This window comes from Homo sapiens, chromosome 10 (assembly GCF_000001405.40).
Source record: "Homo sapiens chromosome 10, GRCh38.p14 Primary Assembly".
NCBI classification, from domain to species: domain Eukaryota; kingdom Metazoa; phylum Chordata; class Mammalia; order Primates; family Hominidae; genus Homo; species Homo sapiens.
In genome coordinates this window covers 112,328,025-112,352,812 of record NC_000010.11, presented here as the reverse complement: position 1 = coordinate 112,352,812, position 24,788 = coordinate 112,328,025, and the positions used below count along the sequence as shown (strand labels likewise).

The 24,788-nt window shown below is 46.4% G+C and overlaps 1 pseudogene across 1 annotated transcript in view; it reads left to right on the top strand.

The window, feature by feature from the left end:
* GUCY2GP (guanylate cyclase 2G, pseudogene) overlaps positions 1-24,788 on the top strand; it is a 48,418-nt pseudogene that overhangs the window by 3,783 nt on the left and 19,847 nt on the right. Inside the window, exons 3-10 of the transcript NR_028134.1 lie at positions 959-1,068; positions 4,465-4,650; positions 6,663-6,807; positions 11,067-11,176; positions 11,908-12,056; positions 12,777-12,814; positions 13,627-13,764; positions 16,284-16,367. The product of NR_028134.1 is annotated as a guanylate cyclase 2G, pseudogene (transcript). The remainder of the gene's footprint in view (positions 1-958; positions 1,069-4,464; positions 4,651-6,662; positions 6,808-11,066; positions 11,177-11,907; positions 12,057-12,776; positions 12,815-13,626; positions 13,765-16,283; positions 16,368-24,788) is intronic.

The window sequence follows — 24,788 nt, the reverse complement described above, 5'->3', positions numbered from 1 at the left end:
ATCTCTTTAATCTGTCCACTTGTATGCTGTCTGCTGGCTCGTTCACTGCTATGTCTGTGCCCAGCAAAGTGCCTGACACATAATTGGAGCTCAGATAAATAGACTATAAATTACTTCATTTAAAAAACTAGCTGGGTGCGTTGGCGCACGCCTGTAATCCCAGCACTTTGGGAGGCTGAGGTGGGCAGATCATTCAAGGCCAGGAGTTGGAGACCAGCCTAGTCAACATGGTGAAATGCTGTCCCTACTAAAAATACAAAAATTAGCCAGGTGTGATGGTGCATGCCTGTAATCCCAGCTGTCCTGGAGGCTGAGACATAAGAATTGCTTGAACCCAGGAGGCGGAGGTTGCAGTGAGCCGAGATTGTACCATTGTACTCCATGCAGCCTGGTCAATACAGCAGACTCTGTCTCAAAAATAAATAAATAAAAAATAAAACCCACTACTTCATTTGTGTATTCTGAAAATGAACGGTGATGGGATTAAACGGCAGAAAAGTACCATGGCCTACTCCTCCCTCCGGCCAGCCCAACTCAGAAAGTCCAAATGCCCTTGAAAGTCCACATGTCCAAAGGTCCTCTGTGAACTCCTCTTAGCTGAAGTGTGGCTGACAAGTCACAAGCCAGGTCTGCTGTTCTGATTTTTGAGCCAAAAAGAAAAAAAAAACCTAGAGCACAGAGGTGATCCCAAACTTTTTTCACTTGTACATTGTGGGGAGGCTGCAGCAAAGACTTCAGTGCTATAACTGCTAGTTTGTACACTTCAGGTTTGGTTAAAGAATGTAAAAACTCAGGGACTAGTTTAGGCATTCCTGTTTCTTAAGGCATGCCCAAGGAAAGAAAAAGTTCACGTCTCATTTACAGTGACTTTAGGCCAGACTTAGAGTGAGAGCATGCGTGAGAAAGCACACATACACAAGCATGTGCAACTGGCGGACTCTGGTTTTCATTCTTATAGTTATCATCTTAACGTGCAGCTCAGAGGATGCAAAAATTATTCTTCTGGCTGCAGCAAACCTGGGACTCAGCACTGGAGAATTTGTTTTCATCATTTTGCAGCAGTTGGAGGTGGGTACCGTTGACCACTCAATGGCTCTGGTAGTAAGAGGTAGCAAGTATGGAGCACTCGTTATGACCCACATGTATTAGCTCACTGAGCACTCACTACAACCCTGTGAGGTAGGCACTCTCGCGTCCTCTTCTTAAAATTAGGACACTAAGACAGAGCTGGAAGAACTTGCCCAGAGTTCTTCTCCACAGCTAGTGAAAGGCTGAACCAGGCCATGAACTAGGTCAGCTGGCTTGAAGGCCTAGCCCGCTGTATTCCGTATCAGACAACAACAGTTGAGGAACTACTGTCATTTCTACCGGGCAGCTGAGACCTTCCCAAGGGACCCTCAGACACAAGCGGCTCTCACTTCTTTTTCTTCCACAGCTACCGCCGTGTCCCTGCTGAAGCTTTAACAAAGGGCTGGAAAGACCAACATACAGATGCAACGAAGCAATTCTTAGGCAGTCTGATTCTTTTGGTAATGAGAATGGCTAAAAACACAACTGCTTACTATGAGGACTGAGTTACACATTTTACACACGATTGCACTTAATATTCTCAATGGCTTTGCAAGGCAGTTCCTAAATGCATTATTTATGTGCCTGTACATTTTGTATTTGGTATTTCGAACAGCCTTGGAAGGTAGATATTATTGTTATTCCAATGTACAGGTAAAAAAACCCAAGGCTTAATTAAGGTACCTTATCTAAGATTTCAGCACTCCCAAGTGGCATACCTAGTCTTCCAGACTGGGCCTTTCAGTCTGAGCTCACCCCACACAACTCTGCCTTCTGGAGAGCTTATGGAGTACTGGGCCTCACTGTGAGTGCTTAATACATTAACGCTTATTGCAGCCCACCACCACACCATGGGGTATTTTGGATCTGGAAATTGGTGGGTTCTTGGTCTCACTGACTTCAAGAACGAAGCTGCGAACCCTCGAGGTGAGTGTTACACCTCTTAAAGATGGTGTGTCCGGAGTTTGTTCCTTCACATGTTCAGATGTGTCTGGAGTTTCTTCCTTTTGGTGGGTTTGTGGTCTCGCTGACTTAAGGAGTGAAGTTGCAGACCTTCACGGTAAATGTTACAGCTCTTAAACGCAGCGTGGCTGGAATTGTTCATTCCTTCACGTGGGTTTGTGGTCTCGCTGGCCTCAGGAGTGAAATTACAGACCTTCACAGTGAGTGCTACAGCTGTTACAGGTGGCGCATCCGGAATCGTTCATCACTCCCAGTGGGTTCACGGTCTCGGCAGCTTCAGGAGTAAAGCTGCAGACTTTCGCACCATGTTATAGCTCACAAAGGTAACATAGAGCTAGAGCAAGCAGCAGCAAAACTTTAGCCCAAAAAGCAAGACAACAAACTTTCCAAAAAGAACCCAAAAGGGTTATCGCTGTTAGCCCACGCAGCTTTTTATTCCCTTATCTGACCCCACCCACATCCTGCTGATTGGTCCACTTAACAGAGAGCTGATTGGTCCATTTTGACAGGGTGCTGATTGGTGCGTTTACACACCTTGAGCTAGACAGAGTGCTGATTGGTGTGTTTACAATCCTTTAGCTAGACATAAAAGTTTTCCAAGTGCCGACCCAACTCAGGAACCCTGCTGCCTTCGCCTAGTGGATGCCGCCTGCGGAGCTGCCTGCCAGTCCCAAGCCACGCACCCACCCTTCTCAGCCCTTGGGCGGTCGATGGGCGGGGCCCTTTGGGGACGCTGGGGCTGCGCGGAAGCCCACTGGTGGCGGGGGGGGCGGAGGGGAGGCATGGCAGCTGCAGGTCCTAAGCCCTGCCGCGTGGGGAGGCAGCTGAGGCGCGGTGAGAATTCGAGTGTGGCGCGGACGGGCCGGCAGTGCTGTGGCACCCGGTGAACCCTCCGCAGCCGCTGGCCCAGGTGCTGAGCCCCTCACTGCCCGGGGCTGGCGGCGCTGGCCGGAGCTCCGAGTGCGGAGCCCACCCCCACCCGGAACTCACGCTGTCCAGCGAGCGGCACCCAGCCCCGGTTCCCGCCCGCGATTCTCCCTCCACACCTCCCTGCAAGCAGAGGGAGCTGGTTCCGGCCTCGGGCAACCCAGAAAGGGGCTCCCACAGTGCAGCGGCGGGCTGAAGGGCTCCTGAAGCACCGCCAGAGTGGACGCCGAGGCCAAGGAGGCGCCAAGAGCGAGCGAGGGCTGCTAGCACGTTGTCACCTCACTTTTATCATCCTCGTTTTACAGAAGAGGAAACTGAGGTTCAGAGAGGTGCCAAAACTTGCCCAAGGCCATCCAACTAGTATGAGGGAGAGCTAGCATTCAAACCCAGGTGGCCTGGGCTCCTTTTCTACCTCTCATCAAGTGCACTGATGCATGGAAATAATGCACGTAGTATCTGCCTCACAGGGGGCTATTGTGTCTGTGCTTGTAAGCATCTTACACAACAGGCATCTACAAAAGCTACTTGCCTTTTCCTATGGACACGGTGCATTATTTTTCTAGCAGTTTTATCTTTCTAAAATAAGCTTTTTAAAAAAATCACAAGAAGCTGAAATAGGACAGAAGAAAATAAAGGGAGATATATAGTAATGTCCCAGATTTTTCTTTCTTTATCATGAAGTCTTTCAGATCCACAAAAGCATCTCAGATTTCTTTGGGTAGGGAGCTGGAATCCTAAAGGCATGCCAGACTTTCCAGAACACTCTCTTACCCTAGATATCCATTGTGACCGCCTCCCTTTCTCTTCACTTTTCCTCTCATCTCTGCCTTCAGGCACATTGTTTTGGCAGGGAAACTTTTCAACTCCCCTGTTGCTTTCTCCCACACATTGATGATCCATTCCAACTGGTGTGTAATGGCAGAAAGAAGGTAGAACTAAGAATACACCAATGTCTATGCAATTGAATTCATGCTGCTTCATGAAAGAATAGCATAAATCTATTTTATGAAACTATTCCCAGTATAGGTTTAGGTGGAAAAAAATCAAGCTGCATTATGGTATGATATCATCATATATATATATATATGTGTGAGTGTGATGTCATATATATGTATATATACATACATATATGTATAATGAGTGGGTATATACTGTTCATAATAGTAACGTAGATTATAATGATAATGCCACAAGCAAAAAAAATTTAAAAAAAGCAAGAATCTATAGTCTTAAGCTTTTTAAGTTTTTGCAATCATTGTTAGTAGGTAAGCTTTCTGCATCTTAGCAGCTGTATGCACCAGGAACATTTTTTCTTTTTATTTGTGGCTTTCCTTCCACTGCTTATATGCCAGCTAGAGAATGTGGACCTTGTATTGCAGGCCTTCTGGAATCACTGTGTTTCCAGGAATTAGAATGTAGTGGTTCAAATTAAACATTGTGTTACACGCAGTGCCCTTGCCAAGGCATTTCCTACCGAATAACAACATTTATTTTATTACTTTTTAGGACCGTTTTTGGAAGGAAGTACTGACAAATCAGAAAATGATGCACCTCCAAAAGGTGTATGGGTCACTGCTTCTCATTGCCCTCAGCTCCTACAGAAAAGGCCGTGGAGACGAAGGCTTTTGGAAACAAGTCTACCAAACACCGAGGAGGTCGCCCTTCCGCAGCACCATCTCCTGGGAGGAGCAGGTGTGATGCCGGGTCTTCCAGCTCAGGCTCCCTCCTCCCCTTCTTTGATCATATTTGTGTTTGCCTTTGCATTTCTCCCTCTTATTTCTCCTCATCTCTCCCTACCCCCCTTACACACATGCAGGTGCACACACACATGCACTTCCCCATCTTCCACGCCCAAAATAAACAGCAGTTTGATGCTCTCTTGTGAATTTATACCTCAGAGGTTACTGGGTGAAAGGCCTTTGGAGCAGAGGCCTATGCCCCCATCCTACTGCTGCTGTTTGCTAACTGTAGGACCTTGTAGTGAATTGCTTAACCTCCCTACACCTCGGTCTCTTCTTCTGTGAAATGGGACTGATAATGGCATCTACCTCCCAGGCTGTGGTGGTGTGTATTTAGTAACATTGTCCATGGAAGAAGCAAAGTATATATCTTCTTCTTTTGAGGGAAGGTCTCGCTGTGTCACCCAGGCTAGAGTGCAGTGGTGCAGTCATGCTCACTACATCCTCGACTTCCTGGGCCCAAGCAACCCTCCCACTTCAGCCTCCTAAGTAGCTGGAAATATAGACACATGCCATCATGTCTTGATAATTAAAAAAAAATTTTTTTTGTAGAGACGCGATTTCCCTATGTTGCCAAGGCAGCTCTTGAACTCCTGGGCTCAAGCAATCCTTCTGACTTGGCCTCCCAAAGTGCTAGAATTACAGGCGTGAGCCACTGTGCCTGGCCCAGAACAGATATTAATGGGTACCCAGACCATGACAATTTCCTTCCCCAGGAGGATGCCAGGACCTAGACCCAGGATGGAGTGGTCAGAGATGTGGAGCTAGGACAGGTCAGGGCCAGCAGGTGGGCTGGAAAAGGGAGGAGATGATCAGGAGAGAGAGGGTCCGCCTGTGGTAATCCCAGTATGTGTGTGATGAGGAGGCAGTATCTGGCTTTCACAGAGAAGTTTTTGAAGAGAGACCTTTGTCCAGAGCTGGAGCTACTTCCAGTGTGGGGCCAAGCTGAAGCCTAAGGTGACCACAGGCCACTGATGACAAGGAGTTTGATTAGAAATGAGGGGGCCGATTGTGGATCCCAACATATAAGACAAGATAACCAATTAAAGAATATTTGAGTAACAGTCTACTAAGTGTCAGCTTTGTATCTGGTACTGTTGGGAGAACAGTGCCTGGCACTTAGTAGGCACTTGTATTTTCCTTGACTGCCCAATAGAAGACATCACGTCCTGAAGACCTACTAAGGGTCAGGGACTGCAATGGATAGTTTACCTATTATGCCTCATTTAACTATTGTCACATTCAACCCAACAGCAGTTTTATCCCCCTCCTTTTTTTTTTTTTGAGATGGAGTCTCGCTCTGTCACCTAGGCTGGAGTGCAGTGGCGCAATCTCGGCTCACAGTAACCTCTGCCTCCTGGGTTCAAGTGATTTTCCTGCCTCAGCCTCCTGAGTAGCTGGGATTACAGGCACCTGCCACCACGCTGGGCTAATTTTTGTATTTTTAGTAAAGATGGGGTTTCACTATGTTGGCCAGGCTGGTCTCCAACTCCTGACCTCGTGATCCGCCCGCCTTGGCCTCCCAAAGTGCTGGGATTACAGGCGTGAGCCAACGCGCCCAGCCTATCCCCATTTTATAAACGAGTGAGCTGAGATTCAGAGAGGCTGTGGAACTTACCTCGGGACTCATAGCCAGTAGGGAGCTGAGCTGGTCTAGTTCCAGCATGTACCCTCTTTCCCTGAAACCATGCTCCCTCCCACCTGTGGCCTGAAGAGCGTCCCTGAAGGATCAGAAGATCTAAGTGGGAAACGCAGCATTCAGAAGGAAAATGAAGACTGCGACGTCTGGGTTTCATAGTGCAGGCGCAGGTGTATGCTGGACCCTCTGCTCTGTGGGATGGGGGAAGAAAGTGCTGTGTGCCACTGCCGGGCGGACGGAACAGAGATTCCTCCTAATTTAGTGCTGGACGGTGACCCAAGAGGCCAAGAACCTCTTGAGACCCTGCTTTGCTTGTCTTATTGAAGGTGAGCCCTTACTCTGCCTACCTTCACGACGCCGTCCTGCTCTATGCTGAGACCGTGAAGCAGGTGGTAAAGGCTGGAGGCGACTTCCAGGATGGGTGGCAGCTGGTCAGCGCTCTGAAGGGTTCCAGTCAGACCACAGTGCAGGGTAGGTGGCTTACTGCTGGAGGGTGTTCTAAACTCAGACCTGCGGCTCCAGTCGGTGGGGGCTTTGAGATCTTGGGCATGTAATTAAAGGCCTCTTTCAGGGCCTGCCTCACACTGAACTCCAGAATTCATCTTTCTTATGGGGATTCCTGTCTTCCTTCTGTAAGTGTAGTTGAGGTTAAGACCTCCCAGCTCCCACAGTTCGCTCATCCTTCTGGCCAGAGCCTGCCCAGACCAGGAGAGGAGGCTGCTGGGCACCTTATCCCCTTTCCCCTGGGAATTCTCCCCCGCAGTTCCATTCAAACTGAGTCCATCAAGAATAAAATTCAGAAATGTGAGACCTGTCTCCCGGGGTCACTTCCCATCTGCAGCCTCTGTGATGGGGGCCCTGGCACCACAGACTTCTGAAGATGGGTTGTAGTCTCATTCTTGCTTTCCTGGTGGGGATGAGTATAGGTTGGGGAGTGAACCGCTTTCAAATCACATTCAGCTGACCAACTGCTTTGATCTTTCTTGTTCTCGTTTTCTCAGTTGTAAGATAGGGATAACACCTGTTACCACATGCAGAAATAATAACCAGCATTTAGGGAGGGCTTACCTTACACTAGGCCAAGTGCTAAGAGCTTCCGAGTATTACCTAATTGAATCCTCACACAGCCCATGAGGCAGGTACTATTTCTATCTGTATTATTCAGGTGAGTAAACTGAGGTTACAGAGGTTATGTACCTTGTCTAAGGTCACAAAGTTATTAGATGGTGGAGCCAGGATTCAAAATCAAGTCTGCCTTCTCCAGGGCTCATGTTCTTTGCTATCCTGTAACATAGGAGTAATGAGAATATGACATGCACCTGGCACATAGTATGTGCTCATTAAATAGTAGGTTCTTTTTTTTTTTCTTTTGAGATAGGGTCTTGCTCTGTCACCCAGGTTGGTCTCATACTCTTGGGCTCAAGAGATCCTCCCGCCTTGGTGTCTCAAAGTGCTGGGATCATAGGTGTGAGCCACTGTGCCTAGCCAAATGGTCACTATTTTTATCCTTGCTTTGGCTTATCTTTTTGGCTTTTGGCTTATAAATTATTACCTAAAATTTGTCTGAAAATTTAAAGACAGCAGCCAAGGCCTGCTCTTTGAAGTTTTCATAGAAGCAGGTCGCGTTTACCCTATTAATGCCTTTTGCAAGTGGAAATATTCACCAACTTCTCTCCTTTCCTTTCAGACCCTAAGGCATTTGCTTAAAAAGGGGAGAGGTCACAAGGGGGGATCCTTCTTTCTGCTCTCAGTTTAATCCCCTCTGCCAGATCAATTAATTCCTCTTTCCTGTGGTTTTAGAAATTCTTCATGCTGGAATGAGGGGAGGTTGTGAAGAGCAGTGAGGCCCTTTAAGAGCCTGAGTCATCCCACTTTGGTTCTGGGACCCGTGGGCCCCTTTCAGGGACTCATGACCAAAGGGCCCTCCTCACCCCTTCCAAACTGGCTTCTGTTCCCTTATGGGCTACAGGACTAGCCTTGGCAGAACTGGAGTATTTGTCTCTGCTTCCTGTGTTCATTTCTGCCACATGGTGGCAACCACTCCATCGGCCAGTGCCGAAGGGCTTTTGCACCATTCCAGAAGGAAAGCCTCTTCTAGGAGGTCGAGTTAGGGAGCAGAATCCCCCAACCCCACTGGCTTTGGCTCAGTGAACGCAATGCACACTGAAAGAAGTGGCCCTGGTTGTCGCAGGAGCTCTGGCCTTTCCCCTGCAAACCTCAGGCTCAATACCCACATTCAGGATGCCCACGGATGTGTATGCAGAAAGGCAGTGTGGCATGCTGGAAAGAACATGGCACTTGGGGCCTGATAGGCCTGGGTTTGTGTACCAGCTGTGCCTCTTCGTGGCCCTGGCAGGAAGACCCGAGGAGTTCATGCCTCCAAGCTTTGCTTGTTGGGAGCAGATGATGGTGCCCCTTCTGAAGGGTTAATTAGGATTAGACATGGGAAGTCAACACCACCTGCAGTGCCCAGCACTTATTAGGTGCTTTATCAGTGGTAATTTTGTGTTCTGTCCCCTGTGGGACAAAATCAGCAATAAGTCCTTTGTCAGAACCTACGTACTAGTTTGGGGTGTGAAGGAGCTGTGCTTCCAAGATGCGTTCCTTCAGTAGTGGAGTTAATCACGTTCTAAGAAATAGCAAACAGCACATCAGGCCCTGTAAAGCCTCTGCACCAAGCCTCTGCAAAGGGCCTGCAAGGCCTCTGCACCCAGACCAGGAGGGAAGGGGCTGCCATGAGAACAGAGATTGCAAACTTGTGCCCCAGGGCCTGGCAGCATGGAGGCGTGGGGTGGGTGGGGTCAGGGGAGGAAGATGGGAGGAACTGGAGGAAGCAGCTGTCCCTCGGCCCCAGACGACTGCTGACATGTTGTCACATCTGATTGTTCGAGGGAAGCATAAATCTCAGGTTTTAAGTGAAATTAACTGGAAACAAACTTTTTTTTTTATTTTTAAGTGCTGGATGAGCTTCCCCAGTGTGGGCCTGAGAAAATACATCTGCCTGCCCAGTGTGGCCCTTTAACCCTAACAGGATGCTATCTCTGAACTGTCTTCTTCCCTTTGCTGGTCCCCATTGACCCTGTCTCAGATTCACTGAAATGACAGAAACCCTGTGTCTGGTTTTTAATGGCTGTTGGGGAAGGGGGTTCTGTTGATTTGAGTTGGGGCAGGCTGGCATTTTGAGCCACATGTTGCTGTCCCTCTCCTGACCTTGTGCAATCTCCTGTCTTTCTAGGAATCACAGGCCCTGTGTTTGTGGATGCCCAGGGAGAAAGGCACATGGATTACTCTGTCTATGCCCTGCAGAAGTCTGAAAATGGGCCCCTTTTACTTTCTTTTCTTCATTATGACAGTTATCAAAGTAATCAGATACTGGCCGGACATTTCTGCAAGTGTAGATTGTGCTACAGAAAGAGACATAGGAAGAGGAGGGCCCTGGGAAGGCCAGTTTGGGATCCAGTCCCTAGAATCCCCCAAGTAGCCTGGTGCTCTTAGAACTCATGAAGATAGACTTTGGGCCTTTAAGGTGATTTTATTCCCTTGACTGAGGTTATGGCTTGACCGTTTCAGATTTCAGTGTAGGACAGAGTACCCACGAACTGCACCTCCACCAGGGCCCTGTTCTCCTCTCGTGTTCCAACCAGTGGTCCCATTGGCCATGGTCTAGGGGAGAGGCCCTGGGCCCAGAGCGGGTGGTGGAGCACAGCGTCCCCGAAGGGATGGGTTTACAGGCCCCGAAATGGCTCACCTAGACAGCCTGACTCCCAGACACATTTGGACACCAGCAACCAGAACCCAGGAATCCTGGGGAAAAAACAAAACAAAACTTTGTTTTTGTTCTTTCAGCTACAAATCAATGAGAAAACTAAAAGGAAACCTAAGATGTAATTCAATTTCCACTCACCCCCACTGCCACTACTTCCAATCCAGATTCAACTTGAGGCTTTTTAAATTTTTAGACAGTCTTGCTCTGTTGCCCAGGCTGGAGTACAGTGGCACAATCTGGGCTCACTGCAACCACTGCCTCCCAAGTTCAAGTGATTCTCTTGCCTCAGCCTCCTGAGTAGCTGGTATTACAGGTGCATGCCACTGCACCCAGCTAATTTTTGTATTTTTAGTAGAGACGGGGTTTCACCATGTTGGCCAGGCTTATCTTGAACTCCTCACCTCAGGTGATCCACCCACCTCAGCCTCCCAAAGTGCTGGGATTACAGGTGTAAGCCACCACACCCAGGCAACTTGAGGCTTTTTTCTCCCCTTCTCTTATGGAATTTTAATGGACCAAAATGGGCCAGAAAACAAAGTAACCATGGCAAACTAGGTCTTTAGTATTGTCAGAACAGGCACACTCCACATAGGAGGAGATGTTTTGTTCTGTGAAATGTCAAGCTGCTATATAACAAGATTTGTCTACGTCAAACACAGATGAAAGTCCCAGCAACATTGACTTGGCATGTCATCTTTTAAATCAAAAGAGACATGGTTTAAGTCAAAAGATTGAGGAAGCTATTTCAACAGCAAAAAGATACTGCCTTCCTTGAATGAGATTACCTGAAGGCTGGATTTGAAGAGCCTAGGAGAGTTGGGCAAACTGGACAGAAGTTTGAATTGAGAGACCAAGGCTTGAGTTTTGCAAATAACATGCATTTTTCCGTTGTCTCTGCTGTACATGAGGTAGAGTCAAATAGAACAAACTGAGCTGACGCTGACCTTTATTTTTTTTTTTAAAGACCCACAGGGAATTTCTCCAATATGACCTGGCCGCATGGCTCCCTTCCTGAAGACAGACCTGGCTGTGGATTTTATAATGAGCTCTGTGAAACTCAGTCTGCTTTTACGGGTAAGTATGGCTGTTTGGAGAACGTAGCAGGGAAAGACTTTCTATAGTAGGGTCTCTGTATGGCAGGCAGCACTATTGACATTTTGGGCCAGGTAATTTTTGTGTATGGGGAGGCTGGCATTTCAAGCCATGCATCCCTGTATATTATAAGATGTTTAGCGGCACCCCTGGCCTCTACCCACAGATGCCTATAGCAGCCCTCTAGTCGGAATGAGAAATGTCTCCAGACATGGCCAAATATCCCCTAGGAGGCAACATCACCTTTTTCCCCTGTGGAGAATCACTGCTCTAAGGGAAACTGGCTCCTGAGATTTGAGTCTCAGGAACTTCACCTCTAGGGAGGTTGAAAGAGTCTGGGGAGGGGAGTGTGCCCCAGTGGTTAGGAGCCCAGCCCTGGAATTAGATGGATCATGCCTGGAGAACCACCCTAAGGAGAACACACAGTAAATGTTTTGTAAACACTGCTGGTGGAGTTAGAAGTCATCATTATTATTTCTCTGCAGTGGAACTTTCTATACAAAGCGGGAGGTGAATGCAGTTCCAGTGGGAACTAGGGTGGTAGTCAGGGAAGAATTCCTGGAAGAGACAAGTCAGCGTAGACTTTGTGTGTCCTACCCCAGACCTTCCAGAGGACAGCCTTTGAGGAACCTGCTCGGCTGGGCCCAGCTGGGCAGGGATGTACTTGCTACTGCTCTTGGGCAAGGCCTGGGTAATATGCCTCTACCCTCCAGGCGTGACTGCTGTGCTTCTGACATTGATGATCCTCATTCCTGTCTTGGGAGCTGCCATCATAGGTCTGATTTTAAGGATGCAGAGGCAAAACAAAGACATCTGGTGGCAAATCAATTTTGATGATATCACCATTCTTCCCCAGAACAAGGTGAGGCCATATGTGACCCAGATGTCCCATTTCCTGGTCACTGCTGGAGATGTGTGGAAGGGACCTCATCTAGGAGCTTATAAGAGCAAGAGGCTAATTTATTCAGTGAGCACTTCATGAAGAGTCTGCAGGCCTGAGTTCTGGTTCTAGGCCTCCCACTTGCTTGCTGAATCTGAGAATGTCATTTTACCTCCCCAAGACTCAGTTTCTAAATACTTACAAATGATTGACAGTCTCTAAAGTTCCCTTTGCTCTGTTACTCTGTGGGTGAGAACTGTAGATGGTGTTCAGATATTAAAGCTGTCTCCTGGGGAGGATTTAGTTATTTTATTTTTTGTTTTGTAATTTTTTTGAGATGGAATTTCGCTCTTGTTGCCCAGGCTGGAGTGCAATGGCACGATCTCGGCTCACTCCAATCTCTGCCTCCCGAGTTCAAGTGATTCTCCTGCCTCAGCCTCCCCAGTAGCTGGTATTACAGGTGCCTGCCACCATGCCCAGCTAAGTTTTTCTATTTTTTTTTTAGTAGAGATGGGGTTTCACCATATTGGTCAGGCTGGTCTCGAACTCCTGACCTCAGGTGATCCACTCGCCTCAGCCTCCCAAAGTGCTGGGATTACAGGCATGAGCCATCGCTCCTGGCCGGATTTAGTTATTTTCAAAACCACATTAACTCCTTTAATCAATTGATGACTAATACAATAATGTTCATTTGCTTGACAGGGACTTGACCATTAACTACAGGCCAAGCATCATACAAGGTATGGGGATATCCCACAAATGAGATGCCTCCAGAGGGAGGCAAGTGTCAGAGAGGTGTTTCCACGGTGAGATGGAAGCCTTGCAGATGGAGGGACTGAAGGTCTCAGCATCTGGAAGGCTTTGGAGAGGAGGTGACATTTGAGAAGAGTGAGTTTGCAAGTGATGAAAAAGAGTGAAGTACACAGGATATAATGAGATGTGGGATGGTCAGGGCTGGGAAGCTTAGCTGGTACCAAGTCAGGGAGGCTTCAACATGCTAAGAGCAGGTGACTGTGATTCATTAGTAACTCATCTCCAAACGTCCCCGGGGATTCAGACACTTACTCTTCCATCTTCCACCAAAGCAGCTCTGCTTCGATCTACCTCATTTCTACATTAGGGTTCCAGATAAGATTCTCCTTGAAAACAAGATTCCTATGCTTTGAAGGTGTTTTCTAGGTGTTGGGAGGCACTGAGAGTGTTAAACAGAGACAACTTGGTTAGATGTTCTTTAAGAAAATGGCTCTAACCCCAGGCCACACATCTAATTAAGTGCCACAGCCAGAACTTGAGTCTGGGCAGTCTGACCTCAGAGCCTTCCCTCTTAACCTACACCTCCATGGTGGTACAGATGCCATAGAAGGCATGGATGATTGGATGATGCTGTCCTAGAGTGATGCATGTAACAGGTCAGAAAGATCAGGGTTCAAATCCTGGCTCTCTTATTATTAACTGTCTGACCTTGGCACTCAGCTTCCTCATCTATAAAATGCATTCCCTTTTGTACTTGGCCTTGCTGCTGAGAGTGACCAAATTACTTCCTGTTTTACAGCCATCCCAGAGAGCCACACCTGTGTCAAAAGGCATCAACAGTAACTCATCTAGTGTGATGATTTCTGTGGACCTCAGCTCTTTTGTCAAGAGCCAGCAGTGGGAAGAGCTCTTCTATGCCGCAGTAGGGCTTTATCAGGTATTTCTGAGGCCAGGTGGCTGCCCGTAGATCTTAGTGTATCTCTGTTCTGTTCTCTGCATCGTTTCTGCCAGGCAGGGCATTCTGAATAGAAGAACATTCTGCTAGCAAAAGCCAAGGTGGTCTTGTGACTCCATACTAGTGCTTCCCAAACCTTAATGTGCAGATGGATCACCTGGGACTCTTATTAAAATGCAGATTCTGGGTCAGTAGGTCTGGTGTGGCACCTGAGATTCTGCATTTTAAATAATCTCCTGGCCGGGCATGGTGGCTCACGCCTGTAATCCCAGAACTTCGGGAGGCCAAGGCGGGCGGATCACGAGGTCAGGAGATCGAGACCATCCTGGCTAACACGGTGAAACCCCGTCTCTACTAAAAATACAAAAAATTAGCTGGGCTTGGTGGTGGGTGCCTGTAGTCCCAGCTACTTAGGAGGCTGAGGCAGGAGAATGGTGTGAACCCGGGAGGCAGAGCTTGCAGTGAGCCGAGATCACGCCACTACACTCCAGTCTGGGCGACAGAGCGAGGCTCCATATAAAAAAAAAAATCTTCTAGGTGATTCCCAAGCTGGCTTCTAGATTATACTTAGCTTTGTCCAAAATAACCTTCTGTGATGATGGAAATGTCGCGGATCTGCACTGTCCAATATGGTGGCCACTAGCCTCCTGTGACTACTGAACATTAGTGTGCCTGGGCAACTGAATTTTAAATTTTATTTAATTTTAATTAATTTAAATTTAAATAGCCTTATGTGACTGGTGGCTCCCTTAAAGGACAGTGGAGTCCTAGAGTGTGGATTATTTCATCCTTGCTACTTTGGCATGGATGAATCAGTTGTGGGGCCTGGTGCTTCTGCAGTGTAGACAGTGACTGCTGCTGCAGCTTAGAACGTAATTTCCACTTGTCCTTTCTCACCTTCCCTCCCACACCCAGACCATGATCGCTGTCTGCATTTAGCAATCCTTCCAAAATTCAAGTCCCCTTGGGGTAAGAGTATATACAAAATTGTATTTATTCTTTAAAATGGGGGTCCCAGAGAGTAAAGACAGAAAGCTCCGAGCAAGGGAAGAATTGTTTATTGCTCTAAATTGGGGTTAGAAAAGACTAGAGCCAAATTATCCCCTATGCATTGAAACTTGATTTTTTAAATGTTTGCTTACTTGAGTTCTCAAACTACAAAAACCTCCTGGGATATTACTAAATACCTTAGGGACCACCATCCATACAAAACTCTACGTGGTCGTCACCCAGCCACATAAAGAAGGAAGTAGCAACACATAGCATATCGCTGTTTGATTGATCTTCCAAAAATATGTCTCCTCTCCTCTCTGTGAAACACCATCACTGGATTCCCCACCTCTGTTGCCTGCATGATAGTGCCAAAACTCTTTAATAAGAGATTTAAGCCTCTTGACTCCCTAGTCCTTATCTATTTTTCTAATCTTTTTTTCCCCTGGCTTATATTCTGTGCTCATCCAATTGGTCTTGCCTATTTTGCCACGTATGTTTCACCTTCTGACAATGCCACACCCCTTCCACCCAACCCATGTGGAATCTTCTTATCCTTCAAAGTTCAGCTTAAGCATCACCCCTTCTAAGAATCCTTTTCTTCATCCCACAGGCATTCCTTCCTCTGTGGCCCTCCCATCACAGTCCTGAGTCCTTTGCCATTGCCCTCATATGAAACGTGAAAGATCTTGGGTTGATATTTACCTTCTCTTGTGGCTTACCTTCTCTTGGGTCCAGATTCTATGCCTTCTTCTATCCAGCTCTTACCACATTATGATATGTTTTTGTGGTGACTGATTAAGTGGCTCTCTAAAAGCAGACTCCATAGGCAATACAAATAAAATATGCCATTTACTGAAAATTTGATATATGCCAGGTCTTGAGTTACCAGTGGTATTTTAACTGATTTAATGCTCAGAAAACGTTATGAGATTGGTGTTTTTAAAAAAAAAAAAAAAAAACTTATTTTAGGTTTGGTGTTATTTTTAATCCCATTTTACAGATGAGAAAATAAAGGCTTGGAGAAGTTAAGAACAACTCAAGGTTGTTAAGGCAGTAAGTGGTAGCACTGGGCTTAGAATCAGGCAACTGACTCCAAACCTACGCTTATCACTGTAACTCACTATTTCCTCTGAATGATAATGGGACATTATTATATAATAAAAAGTGTATAGTCTTGGAGTCAGACTTTCAAGTTCTCGCTGTACTACCTACAAATATGCAACTTGGGCAAGTTACGTAACCTCAACAATCCCATCTGGAAATGGGCCAATCATACCTACCTCACAGGACTGTGATGCCAGTTAAAGGAGATCTTAGTGTTAAGCAGCTAGCTCAGTGCCTGGCCATGCACAGGGCCACCGAAGGGGTTGATTTGGGCAGTGAGGAGCTTGATGATTGGCTCCTAGGTGCATTTCTTTCCAGCTTTTTTTCTCCCCTCCCTAGCCCTAAGTGGAGCTTTTTCTGGTTCATTCTGAGTTAAGAACATTCCACTTTTTCTTTGATTCTAGGGAAACCATGTGGCCATCCGTTACGTTGGTGACCAAGCAGAAGCCTGGGTTAGGAAGCCGATTGTGCTACAGGAAATACAGCTGGTGAGGCCCCCTGCCCAGGGTCAGTGGAGAGACAAAGCAGTGATGCTCTCTGCCCCTCCTCTGCCAGCTCCCTGGTTCCAAAGGAGCAGAGATGGGAGGCTGCTTCCCTTAACGTGACCCATCTCTCCCTCCCCTCGACAGCCCAGGCTTTGAATCTCAGACCTCTAGCCTCTCCCAGGCACCTGAAGCCTGGGATCATTCCTACCTCTGTTTTTTTCCCCATCATTCTTTCTGGCCTTGATTCTGGCTCTTCATCCTCTGTGTCTGTGATGGCTGCTTGCCTACCTACCAGCCTTGAACCTGGTACTTGGAGGGAGTCAGTTTCATGGGCCTGACTTCCTGCTCCTTCTCTGTGATCTGTTGTGGGCCCCACATTGGCATTGACAGCCATAAGCATGGAAGCAGGGCTGAGTCCATTTACTGTGACGTGGTTGAGTTAATCACCGTGCGTGAGGTTAGACTTTGATCGTTCCTCTGATTTATTTGCTGCAGACAGACTTCCTGGGTTTACCTCCCAGCTCTGCCACTTGTAGGTGTTACTTTACCTTACCTTTCAGTGGCAGTTCCCTTATTTGTAAAATGGGATCTGTAACAGTTCTTATCTAACAAGGTCTTTATAAGAATTGACTGAAAATATGCAAAGCACATAGCATGGTCCTGGACATAGAGACACACTCTATACATGAGCTATTGTAACCATGATTATTTCCAGATGGGTGAATTAAGGCACGAGAGCATTGTTCCCTTCTTTGGTATTTGCACCGAACCACCTAACATCTGCATTGTCACCCAGTATTGCAAAAAAGGAAGTCTTAAGATAAGCAAAACAGTAAAATGCTCCTTAGGTTTGATTAGTGGTAGATAATAAAGAAGTTTCTCAGTGCCCTCTGCTATTCATCCAAGGTCAGTTCCTCTCTGTTCTAGTTGCAAGACCTGAACTATCTTGTCAGGCTACCTTCTGGGAATCAAATTAGCCAAATGTCTGCTTCTTTTGTTCTGGGGGAAAACTGAGCTTGGTTTCTTCTCTTAGGATGTTATGGCTACTCTTGAACTGTTGTTCCTGGACCCATCCTATTATGGTATGTGACGACAGCTTTCTGTCAGGAACAAGGAAGTGTTTGTAAAACTCGAGACTGCATGCATTCTCAATATTGAGTCAGGTTATGGTATCTCCTGGGAAGATTTCCAGTTATTAGGTTTAATGTTTTCTGCCCCACATTGCGTTAGTTCTGGCCAAAAATATAAGCTATATTAGAGTCAAATCTGTTCAATTGTTAAAGCTCACTGTGCTTCAGGTTGAGTCACTAGGAATCTTTTGAATTACTGAGTTTTTCAGGATGTTTTGAGAAACTCGGATCATGAAATGGATTGGATATTCAAACTCTCATTTGCATACGACATAGTCAATGTAAGTATAACACAAACTTACCAAAGAATGAATATGATAGTGTTTTTGAGTTGCTGTGTCTTGAAATAAACTGTAATTTTTCTTGAAAATGTTAGACCTCTTCAGATCTCCTCTTCAGAGTGATTCCAGCTCTAAAATCTATCACTTCTATCTGATTTTTTCTTTTCTTCTTCCCTGATTACAGATAAATATATAGAGAGGAAAGTATTTTATGCTAAAGTTGGAATGGATGCTAAGTTTACCCAATCAGAAAAGAGCAGAGTATTTACATTGTAGGGTAGAACTTTCTATCTCAAAGGGTATCTCATCACTAGGTTGTAAATTGGACTGGGGGAAGTGATTCCTGATATTCTTCCCTGCTCTTCAGCCCCTGATTTCTTTCCCTAGGAAATGGGGATGCCACATTAACCACATAGCTGCTGACCTAAGAGTTGGGCCATAGATTCTGATCTGAGGAGGTAGAATCTTTGCTTTGGCACAGGGGACTATGGTGGCTGCAAAGAAGGGAATAATAGTAACACTAAAATATATAGAGTGCCTACTTTGGGCCAGGCACTTTCCAGTACTTTGTATATATTAATTTATTGAATTCTCACAAGAATGTAAGGTAGATCTATTGTTACTTTTATTTTACAGATTAAAAAAACACAAAGCACAGAAAGTTCCTATGACCTTCCTGAAGTCTCATGGCTATGAAATACTAGAGTTAGGATTCAAACCCAGGCATTTTCAAGTCCTATACCCTTAACCACTGTACCATACTGCCTCTCAGTAGGAAGCACTAGAGCTTGCTTTTGTGTTTTACCACAGGGAGAAGTCAGTCTCACAACTAGAAGCCAATTAGGGGCTGGGGGGGCGTGTAATTCAGAGGGAGTTGGAGAGAGACCAATTCCTGCCTGTTGCCAGGAAGGCAGTGGAAATACTGAGAAGTGGCAGCTGGATCCAAAGCCCAAGGTGACACTGTCTTGAAGGGCCATGCCCTAGGTATAAGCTGGTGATGAGGGATGGAGAGGGCAGGAGAGGGAGGAGATTCGCTGTGGGGCGAGCCATGTCAGTGTGGACCAGCATCCTGAGGCTGCTGTCTCCCACCTGCGCTAAATCCAGCTGTTCTTTCTTAAGCTTGCTGCCTATACTTTTACCACCAGAAGCGACAAAGCCAGTGACCTGGGAGTCAGTCCGGTGAGGAAACCTCTCAGTCATGGGCAGCACGGTGAAGGGTGGTGGTCCACTGCTAGTCATTAGTCCAACCATCAATCAACCAACAGACTCCTGTGGGGAAGACTCATCTGGGTGTTGAGAGGGCAAAAAGGATGAAACACAAGCTGTGCCCTCCTGGATTAATGGGCCACTGACTTATTGAGTGATTTTGCCAGGCCACTTCCCCTCTCTAGACCTTGACCTCCACGTAGGTAGAATGAATGAGGCTGGCCCAATTGAAGTCTAACGGCTTTCCTTCAACAAGGATTTTATTGCTTTTTGTTTCTAGGGAGCTGAGTCCCATATCTCTGTGAGACTTTGATTTCCTAGGCTTTAGCAGGAAGCCAGCAGATTGTTATAAAGCAAGGTCAATAGGCAGAAGCGTCTCTGTGATTGGGTCTTCATGGGCAACCCTGGACCACCACTGTTATTATTTCATTAAAATTTTATTGAGCATCTGTTAAGAGTCTATCCTACTCTGGTCACTTTTGTAGGAAGAAAGGACTTGTTTCCAGCTTTGGATGGCTTAAAAGCTAGGGAAAAAAATAGTCTGGAGATGTACATATAAAATTCTTTAAGTGGCAGTGGTTATAAACTGGGAGGATGCGACATTGGCATCTTTTCCTACCCTGGGATCTTCTCTCCTTCCCTTCACCCACTTATTCCTTCTCTTCCCACCGAGCACAAAGAAGTATTCTGGACTCTAATTATCTGCCTCCTGCCCCCATCAAAACAGCCAACATCATTTATATTGGAAGTGAAGAGTAAGCTAGTAAGTAAGTTCTCACCAAGCCATGAATGACTAACAGATTTGACCTTTTTAGTGTAGGCATCAGATTTCAAGAAGCATTAACCCAAAGGTTTCTCTGGAAAAACGCTATGGCAGGTGGGCATGGCACTTTGAAGGGGAAGAGCTCCCTGGTGGTCATCACCTACTCTAGCTCACTGAGTCTACCCTCTACTCTGTGCCAGGAAAACAGAGGACAGCTTGGCATTTTGCTTTGGAAGGATCATTACCTCCTGAGATGGAGTGTGCACATTCTGGGATCATGTAGGGCCACTACTGATGACACAATAGGCTAGATCAAGGCACAGGTAGGCCCTTTGAGGTTAATTACTCTGCCAATGTTCTTTGAAAGGGGACTGCGAGTAACAGAAAATGTACTGTACTCTTAGAGCCTTGCCATGGGTCTGGGCATTGGGCCAAGCTCCGTGGGGGCGATTGTAGTTTGGAAACAAGTCTCTCTATGTCTATTTGATCAGCACCTCCTCTATATCAGGTATCAGAGAGACTCTGAGATGCCATAGACATTTCAAGGCAACAAACATATATTGATCAAGCGCCTAATTTGGATCAGACCCGATTCTGGGCGTAGGAGGCACAGACGAATGAGCCTCATTGTCCTGTCCCCAAAAAGTTCAACCCAGTTGGGCAAGCCTGGGAAGGAGTTTGGAGAGTATAATACTCTTCTTGAGTTACAAATAGGCCTTCATGTCTAAATAAGAGAAGTCTTGATGGATTAAGAGGATGAAGGACAATTCAGCAAAGAAGTTGTCGTTGAAGTTTGAACCCTGACTGCCACTTACTGGCCAGGTGACCTTAACAACCCTGGGCCTCAGTTTTCCTGTGTGTAAAGATAACATCAGTACCTGACTCATAGGGTTGTGTGAGGACTAATGTATGCAAAATGCTTAGTGCCATGCCTTCCCTGTAACAGGCGTCCAGTAAATGTTGATTGTTAGTAGTAGCAATAGTATTATCACGATCATAGATAATTCTATTACTGGTGCTAAAAGAAGTACATATTCTTGTTTTAATTTCCCCAACACTCCTATGGGGCAAGTCTGCACTGTCCAAATATGATAGCCACCAGCCACATGTGGATAATGAGCACTGCAATTGTAGCTAGTTCAATTTGAGATGTGCTATAAAGTTTGTACTGAATTTTGTAGACTTAGCAAAAAAAAAATATAAAATATCTTGCTAATATATTTATGTTGATTACTTGCTGAAATAAGATTTTTCAATACATTGGGTTAAATAAAACATTATAAAATACATTTCACCTGTTTGGTTTATAACATGGCTGCTAAAAATGTAAAAATACACATGTGGCTTGTATTATGTTTTTATTGGACAGTGATCTCAATAATTAGCAATTAACTCCATTATTAATTCATTTTTAACTCCAATAGTAGTAATATTGGAGTAACATGATCTCCATTTCCAAGAGGGAAAAAGTGAGGCTTAGTGAGGTGAAGTCATCTGCCCAGCTGGTAAGACGCAGATTGGGATTTGTAGCCAGTCTGTCTCCAAAGGCTGTGTTTGCTCTTCCATGCGATGCTTCCTTCCTGCTAAGTACCAGAGAGTACAGATATAGGGCCCAGAGGTAGGAGTGCTGTCTGCCACCCAGGAATTTCCAGTAGGGCAAGAAATGTAGCTAACAGACAGATGATTGAACTGATACTGGTGGGCTAGGGGAGGTCCCCAAATGCTGGTGGGACCTTGACCCCAGCCAGTGTGCAAGCTCTTAACACCACTGTGAGAAGGAATTCAAGGATAAATCAGAAAGTAGTGAAAGTATGGAGATTTACTGCAAAGTGAAGAGTACACACTCAGGAAAGGGGAGTGCGGGCAGACTTGAGAGAGAGTCACGCAATGGAATTTGGGGCTTCTACCTTCATGAGTTTCTTTAACCAAGGGGTAGAACATTCATGAGGATTCCTGGAAAAAGGTGGAGATTTCTGGGAACTGTGATGTTACCCATTTTTACATTAAATATGGCTGTTCCTGGGACTGTTGTGGCACTGGTGGGTGTGTGACCTAGTATGTTAATGAGCTTATAATAAGGTCCCAGGTGAAACTTGGGTCAAATCCAGCACCATGTTGGATCCAATTGGTCTTAGCTGGCTTGGCCCACACCCTGTTCTTTTCAGGGTCTTGTCAGCCCTGAAAATAATGGCTTATGCAGCTATTTCAGTTCCTTTTTGCTAGTCATGTGTAACTGCCTGGAATTTTCTGTTCTCCTGCAGCCACTCCTGTTATTCCTGTCTCAGAGCTGCCAAAAGTGCATAAAATCTGGCATGTAAATAATAAATCCTTTCATAGCTCTATTTGCTCTCTGATAATATACATAAAAATCATACATTTCCATCAAGATAGAAAATAAAGACATGCATGCCATCTCTTGGAGAGGAATGCACACCCAGAATTCCAAGCGCCCCTCAGCATGTCATTTTCACCCTAATGGAAGGAGCTCTGTTAAAATCCTATAATATAAAATCGTTGACTGTAAAATATCTCATACTTGGGGTAGGCATGGCACTAGCAAAGGCAGGAGGAAAGCAGAAAAAAACCTTGTGTGTATCAGGGACATTCCTGTTGAATGGAGAGGTCTCCTGCTGGAATCAGAGAACTCTGGATCAGACACAGGTCTCACCTGATTTCAAGCTTGGACCTTAGCCTATTGGAGCCTCCCTGGGGAAGTCCCAGAGGCAGCCCCAGCCAGGCCCCTCCCGGTCCAGTTGAGTGGGCGGCAGTTTCAAAATGTGATTCAATGTTACCATCTAAAAACAAATAAGGCATTTTGATAAAGGAACATGGGGTAGGGGGTGGAGAGTGATTGGGGCAGGGGTGGGGGCATGTATCCATTCTCCTGGATGTTTTCGGTATTATCTCATATTTCTTTGTTGTTGTTGTTATTTATTTTTTGAGATGGAGCCTCACTTTCTTGCCCAGGCTGGAGTGCAGTGTCGGGATCTAGGCTCACTGCAACCTCTGCCTTCTGGGTTCAAGTGATTCTGATTCTCATGCCTCAGCCTCCAGAGTACCTGGAATTACAGGCACCCACCACCACGTCCAGCAAATTTTTATATTTTTAGTGGAGATGGGGTTTCACCATGTTGGGCAGGCTGGTCTTGAACTCCTGACCTTGAGTGATCCACCTGCCTCAGCCTCCCAGAATGCTGGGATTATAGGCATGAGCCGCCCAGCCCCTATCCCATTTTTTTTTTTTTTTTTTTTGAGACAGAGTCTCACTCTGTCGCCCAGGCTGGAGTGCAATGGCATGATCTCAGCTCACTGCAACCTCCACCTCCTGGGTTCAAGCGATTCTCCTGCCTCAGCCTCCTGAGTAGCTGGGATTACAGGCACGTGCCACCATGCCAGGCTAATTTTTGTATTTTTAGTAGAGACAGGGTTTCACCATGTTGGTCAGGCTAGTCTTGAACTCCTGACCTCTTGATCCGCCCACCTCGGCCTCCCAGAGTGCTGGGATTACAGGCATGAGCCACCGTGCCTGGCCCTTATCCCATATTTCTAATGCAATATTGGCCTCAGGGCTCTGGCTCAGGTGGGATAGTTACTTGGCCTGTCAGCACTGCTGGAGGAAGAGATGCACCCCTGTGCTGGTGAAGCTGCTTGTTGTCTGGGGTGAATACCCGAGGTTCATGGTATCACGCCAAGGAAATTGAGTACTCACGACACCCAAGAAATGGGTTTAGGAGCACAGTTTTAATAAGCAAAAGAAAGAGAAAGGAGAATAGCTCCCTCTCTTATGAGAGAGAGGGGGCCCACAGCGAAGTGCACCAGATTTTATAGACTGGCTTGAGGAGGCAGTGTCTGATTTACATAGGGCCCAAAGATTGGTTGGACCAGGTGTGACATTTACATAGCCAGCGATGAAGCTGGCTTCCCCACCTTAATCTTCTATTATGCAAATGAAATCTTTGCCTGCCTGGCGCCATGTTGCCTACTGCTTACCGTACGTGTGGTTTACAAAGAAAAGGGACGATGGAGCCCCTATCTGAACATGTCTAGTCCCTAGGTAGCCCCTTTCCTATTAGCACAACTGCAGGCATTCACCCATGCAAGCTTCTAGCCTGCCTTTCTATGTCTGCAGCTTGATTTTACAGGCTGCTCTTTGTTAGAAAAGAAAATGATTTGGGGGCTATCACACGTGTCCGTATAGAAGACCACCTAAACAGGCTTTGTGTGAGCAACAAGGCTGTTTATTCACTTGGATGCAAGTGGGCTGAGTCCAAAAAGAGAGTCAGTGAAGGGAGGTAGGAGAGGGGTAGCTTTATAGAACTGGGGTAGGCAGTGGAAAGTTACAGTTAGAGGTGGTTATCTATTGTTAGCAGGGGAGGGGGTCACAAGGTGTATGGTGGGGAGATCATAAGACTCATTGTCCAGAAGAAGAAAGTCACAGGGTCAATTGATCAGTTGGGGCAGGGTAGGAACAAGTCATAATGGTAGAATGTCATAAGGTGGGTTAATTAGTTAAGGCAGGAACTGGCTGTTTCACTTCTTTGTGGTGTTCCAGCTACTCCAGACTTCTTGGCTCCTGCAGGCCATCTGGACATACATGTGCAGGTCACATGGGTTACAATGGCTGAGCTTTGGCTCAGAGGCCTGACGGGCTGCTTTCCATTTAAAGGAAGACCTTACCGAGGACTCCCATACACTCACTAAGTGTCTAAATAATTCCTTTATTAACTGTTTTTTTTTTTGGTTTTTTTTTTTTGAGACAGAGTCTCGCTTTGTCGCCCAGGCTGGAGTGCAGTGGCACAATCTTGGCTCACTGCAAACTCTGCCTCCCGAGTTCAAGTGATTCTCCTGCCTTGGCCTCCCAAGTAGCTAGGATTACAGGCGCGGACACCATGCCTGGCTAATTTTTGTATTTTTAGTAGAGGGGGTTTCACCATATTGGTCAGGCTGGTCTTGAACTCCTGACGTTGTGATCCACCCACCTCGGCCTCCCAAACTGCTGAGATTCCAGGCGTGAGTCATCGTGCCCAGCCTCTTTCTAACTCTT